This window comes from Homo sapiens, chromosome 4 (genome assembly GCF_000001405.40).
Source record: "Homo sapiens chromosome 4, GRCh38.p14 Primary Assembly".
In the NCBI taxonomy this organism is placed as follows: Eukaryota; Metazoa; Chordata; class Mammalia; order Primates; family Hominidae; genus Homo; species Homo sapiens.
This window is the reverse complement of record NC_000004.12, coordinates 123,596,354-123,602,481: the sequence shown is the minus strand read 5'-3', so window position 1 is coordinate 123,602,481 and position 6,128 is coordinate 123,596,354. Positions and strand designations below refer to the sequence as shown.

Genomic DNA, 6,128 nt, shown 5'->3' with positions numbered 1-6,128 from the left:
CAGGCTCAAGTGATCCTCCTGCCTTGGCCTCCCAAAGTGCTGGGATTAGAAGAGTGAGCCACCATGCCCGGCCTCTGTTGTGCTATCTTATCATTAATGTGTTCATTGGAATAGTACTTTTAATTTCTTCAAGAACTTTTCCTTTGCACTCACAACTTGGCTGTTTGGCACAAGAGGCCTACCTTTTGGCCTATCTTGACTTTAACATGCCTTCCTCACTAAGCTTATTCATTTCTAAATTTGATTCAAAGTGAGAGACTTGCAACTCTTCCTTTCACTTGAACACTTAGAAGCCATTGAAGGGTTATTCGTTGGCCCCATTTCAATATCGTGTGTCTGACGGAATAGGGAGGCCCCAGAGAGACGAGAAAACCATTGGTATGTGGAGCAGTCAGAACACACCATCTTGTATGGGGGCAGTTCATGGTGCCCCCACCAAAATTACAATAGTGACATCAAAGATCATGATTACAGATCACTATAACAGATATAATAATAATTGCAGCAAACCACCATGGCACATGTATACCTATGTAACAAATCTGCACGTTCAGCACATGTATCCCAGAATTTAAAGTAAAATTTAAAAATATATATAATAATAATGAAAAAGTTTGAAATATTGTGAAAATTACCACAGTGTGACACAGAGACACTAAGTGGGCACATGCTGTTGGGAAGAATAGGGCTGATAGACTTGCTCAATGCAAGGTTGCCACAAACCTTCAGTTTGCAGAAAACGCAGCACCTGTGAAGCACAATAAAACAAGGTGTGTCTCTAAAGCTCTAACACAGATCCTGGCTTGGGTAGATGGTTAGTGAATTATATCAGCTTGATTCATTCATTCTACAATTCTGACAGAGCACTACTATCTACCAGTCAGTATCAGCTTTTCTGAAAGATTAGGGAAAGATCATTAACTTTTAGTGAGTGTTTTTTTCTTTTTTCACATCATAATGGTCCTCAAGATTCAGAATCAGCCGCAGTTGAAATTTAACAAGGACAGTGAACCGACTTCTTCTCCAAAGAGGCAGTTGTATAAAGAGCAGCATTGATAAAAGTCCTGACCGTCTCATTCTCCACAAGGATTTCTACATAGGTCTAATTTTCATTTTCACAATAAGCCTCAGTATTCACCACATGCAAGTATTTAACTTCGAAACCTCAAAATAATCAATCTCTATCATATTATTGTTCTTAAGCAGCCAGAAATCTCTTCAGAGACTTTATTAGAAATGTTGGTAATCCTTCAAAATGCCAATTGGCGTCTTTTTCAAACTGTTCTGTAACATCATCTCTATCATCATCCTCCACAGATACCTCCAGAAGGATTCTAGTCAATAAGTTACTTAAAGTGTTCACCACACATGTGGGATTAGATACAGATGAGTGGTTGTAATATATTTCAGAGGTCACTGTAAATGCAGAAAGGAAATAGCTGCATATTCTATTTCCTCAAGACAAAATTTGTTTATAGGAATTATTGATTAAAAACATTAAAACAATTTCTGTGTTCACAGAGTACCTTCCTTTCAGTGATTGCAGTCACCAATAAAATTTGTGGTTAAAATATGTCTTAAAATATGTACCACATTTAGATTTGAAATAAGCAGAGAAGGAAATGTTGAATTGTTTTGAGAGGAGAGAAAAAGAAAAAAAAAACAGTAAAACGGAAGCATAGATGGATTTCTTACCTTAACTGCCAAAAATGAGACTGAGTCTCAAAATCTTTTTCTTTCTATAATTTACCAAAGTGAAGGGAGTCAGAGAAATTAGGACTCAATTATCCAGATTCCTAAACAATGGGTCCTGCAGTCACCAGTTAATTGTTTAAGCCTCCACTTCCTTTTGTCTGTGTTTTCTGGGGTGGGAGGGAGGAAAAGAGAAAGGAAACACATAGAAAACAGATGTGGAAAGAAATATTTATCAACAAAAAGTCTTGGTAAACCACGATTTTTATATCGCCCTTGCACTATATTTTCCAAGTTTCCTAGTTTTCTCAAACCCCAAAGAATTTGTAGCTAGAGAGGAAAACCAAAGCTTTTTATATGTTTTCCACAGGATTAGGAAGGCATATTTGGAGAATTCTGATGCTTTTCCCTTAACCTAATATTAATACATGTTTTTGACTCAAGGAATTTCTGTCAGAGAATGGGAGAAATAAAAGGTTCATTTAGCTGGTTTGTTCTGTCCTTGGACTTCCAGGCAGAATAAACAGCACCTTGTGACAAAGGCGGGCCACACGCTGGCTGAGCTCCAGGCAGACACTGGGGGATGCAGTCTGTTTATCAGACAGCACATTGTCTTAACCAGGATGTGGTTGGCTTTTGTAACAAGAAGTATGCAAATAAGTTTCCCAGAGACCCAACACCCTGTTCCCCACCACACTTGTTCCTTCAGTAGACACATGCTAATGGTGGCTGCCCTGAGAACAGAAGAGAGAGCCACAGAAAGAGGAGAGGAAGAGGAAGTGTCCTGAATTAGCCAGATTAGCCAATGGATCTTTTCAAGAAATACACCACAAAGAATACAACTCCAAGCCACCCTGATTCCCAAAAAAAAAGCATTCTAAAATAATATTGAATATTTTTTAATGTTCAAAAATGTTAAAACTTCTGAATCTGGGTTCATTTATTCTCAGTACAGAGGAAGGCAATGAGGCTTTGAAATGCTGCATGTTCTCTCCAGAAAAATTGCATCACCAGACTCTTCATCAAACCTCTGCCAAAAACGTCTTTCTCAACTTCAGTTGCCTCATATATAAAAAGGTGCTAATAATAGTACCTATGATGTATGGTTGCTGGAAGGATTAAATGAGGTAATTAATAGAAAACAATTTAGCACAATGCCCAGCACACATCTGGGCTCTGAAAATGTTAGCAGGTTGTATATTATGCTTTATTGAGCTGTGTATCATAAAAACACAAAGAATGAAAGAAAAGTACCAGAGGGAAAGAACTTGAAGTGGTAAACATAATTACTGAGAAGGAAGAACAGTATCCCACTTGCTACTAGAAAGAGTTTAATGAATTACTAGTTTCTATAGACTTTGGAGTCAGACAGGCCTGGTTTTACATAACCTTGGGAAAATTTCCTAATCCTATCTGTGTCTAGGTTTCTTTATCTGTAACATGAGTTTAACACCCACCAAGCAGGGTTTTAGGAGTAAATGAGACAATACATGAAAAGGTTCACCTTCTTTCAGTCTCCTCACATCACCTTTACATGAAAGTGACTAACACAGCACCAGGCAAACATAGTCACTGAATAGTGGTTATTATGTGTTTGCTTTATTTACACAATCGTACGGTTGGGTTTAAATTCCAGCTCTGCCACTTTATTGCTGTGTAATTTTAGGCCAGTTGCTTAACCTTTCTGGGCTTCAATTTCCTCCACAGTAAAATGGGGCTCCATAATAATACCTATCTCAACAGGTTTGCTGTGAGGATCAAGTGAGCTAATTCCTACAAGGCCCTCAGAACTAGCTCATGGCACTAAATAAAGACTGGCCACTATTGGTTGTAATCATAGTCTTACTACTTGATGCCAACAGTTAATTTCATTTTACTGCTACATTCTGTAAGGCATGGAATGGCTATTTGGCATAACTGTAATCAGACTGCCATTTCTGGCCATTAGAATTGCACTGGATATCTTTGCAAACGTTCATATAATCCAAAGCACTGACATTAATTATGTCTCATTATTTCAAAACGATTTATTCAAAGTAGGCAAAGAATGGTTTTCTCCTGATGGTTGGGTTCACCTTCTTTCAGTCTCCTCACATCACCTTTCATTCATGAAATAATCTCTCTCTTTGCCAGGGCAAATGAATGGGAAATCAATATCAAAATGATTTCAGAAAAAGAATTCAGTCTTACAGACTTCAGTTACTCAATATACTTTAAACTGGAAAATGTTTCATTTGCTACTTCCACATTTCTACAATTTCTACTCCTATATAAGCAAATGCAGATGACCCAGCAGTGGCCCTCCTCCGATGCCTGTAATATGTAACTTAGGTTTTGTTGTGATTTTCCTTTCACTTGCCTGTCTTCCCAACTGTTGAGTATTTGAAAGGAGTATTACTCCTCTCTTTCAGATCTGTAACTTCTGTAACTAACACATAGCACTGTGGTGTCTGAAGCCACTTCACCTGTGTTCAAATCCCAACTTTAACATTTAATAGCTTTGTGACTATGGCTAAGTCACTGAAATTCTCTATGCCTCAGTTCTTTATCTATAAAAATAAGGATGATAATAACAACCTCATGAGATTTCAGTGAAGATTAGAGATCCTAATACATGGAAAGGGCTTAGAACAGAGTCAGACTGAGGAATCATAGTTAATACTGTATTATTTTGCTGTTATTAATATTGGTGATAACTGGCTGGCATGTTCTTACTCTCATACAGCTTATGTATCACTGCTTGAGGCAAATTAATGAATATATCAATAAAATTAATCAGGTAATAATATGTGCTGTGATTGATATAGGAAAGGGTACTGTGATAAAGTGTGACTGAAAGACTACTTTAGATTGGATGGTCAGAGAAGGCCTCTCAAAGGATATGATGATTGAAGGTAAAACCAGGAAAAAGCCAGCCTTAAGAAGTCATGGAGAAAGAGCATTCCATAGACAGAGAAAACTACCCAAAAGCCTTAAGGCAGGAAGGAGCTTGTCTTGTTCCACAGCAGAAAGAATGTCAGTGTGGTTTGGCTGGAGTGTAGTCAGCAAGGCAGAGAAGGATAGGAAATGATGCCAGAGAGGTAGGCATTGGCTAGAAAATATAGACACCTAGAACCTGAGAGAGAATTTAAACGTATTTCAAGTATAAGGAGTTACCTTTGTTGAGTCTTGCAAATTTACATGATCTCATTTATATTTTCAAATAATCACTCTGGCTGCTATGTAGATCGGAATCAAGGAGATAAACTTGGAGGCTCTTGCAGTAATCCAACCAAAACAAAACAAACAAAAAGAGGAGGTAGCTTATATTAGGATGGGAGTGGTGGAGACAAAAAGTAGATGGAGTTGGGATAGGTTTTGAAGATAAAATCAACAGGATGTGCTGATGGATCAACAATATAGGTAATTGAGGTAAATATGCTTTCTAAAGGAAAAAGATGTTCAGATGATGCTGCACCTTTTTAATGCAGTCATGCGTCACGTAATGACAAGGATGCATTCTGAGAAATGCAGTGTTGGGCAGTTTTGTTGTTGTATAAACATCATGAAGTGTGCTTACCCAAACCTAGATGGTATAACCTACTACACACCTAAGCTGGTATCGCTTGTGTGTCCTGGGCTGCAAACCTGTAAGGAATGTCACTGTTCTGAAGACAGCAGGCAATTGTAACACAAGATGATTATTTGTATACCCAAACATATCCAAACATAGAAAAGATACAGTCAAAATATGGTATTATAATCCTATAGGACCACTGTCACATATGCAGTTCAATGTTGACTCATATGTCATTATGTGGCATATGACTGTACTGTGCTTTAGATTTAGCTCTAATTTAAGGCATAAAATGACTTATAAAAGTTCTAAAATGGACATAAAAAGGGATAGGACTATAAAAACTTTCCAATAAGTATGGAGGAAACCTGAAAACATCACGGCTAGTAGCCCTCTTCCTCCACACAGTCTGCAGAAGGCTGCAAGCCGCTAGGGAAAATCCTTCTCACTGCTTAGTGCCATATCAGTATGATAAGAAAAAAAAAAAAATAGGCAATATGAACTGACAGAGGGGAGGAGATGCGCTCATGAACCTGGGCTAGTAAGTGGGTCCCCATAGCCCATGTGCAGTTTGCAAGGGACCCAGAAGGTCATATGTGCCATAGCACTGGACCCCAATGAGCAAGACCACCTGGTGGAATAATACAGACCTGACATCAGAAAAAATAATGAACACACAATGTGAGTATTTCTCAACCCCATGCCAGAACACCTGAAAGCCCAGATAGGATCTGTTCTACCTCAACAGACACGGCACAACAGAGACCAATAAGGAACAGGAGAATGGTGTCAGATCCTGCCGTGTTACTTTAACCAACCTCATACACTACAATGTCATCTTGAGGAGATGCAGGGAGAGGAGAAGGAATTCAAAAAACCT

At 38.3% G+C, this 6,128-nt stretch overlaps 2 annotated features.

Annotated features, from left to right (window-relative positions):
• Positions 1,541 to 2,186: an enhancer, noted in NCBI's record as "NANOG-H3K27ac hESC enhancer chr4:124521451-124522096 (GRCh37/hg19 assembly coordinates)". NCBI's record gives its function as "activates a minimal SCP1, AML or CMV promoter by ChIP-STARR-seq in naive H9 embryonic stem cells {active_cell/tissue: H9 hESC(naive)}" and the evidence as "EXISTENCE:reporter gene assay evidence [ECO:0000049][PMID:30033119]".
• Positions 2,154 to 2,448: an enhancer, noted in NCBI's record as "tiled region #12612; K562 Activating DNase matched - State 5:Enh". NCBI's record gives its function as "activates a minimal TATA promoter and a strong SV40 promoter by Sharpr-MPRA in K562 cells {active_cell/tissue: K562}" and the evidence as "EXISTENCE:reporter gene assay evidence [ECO:0000049][PMID:27701403]".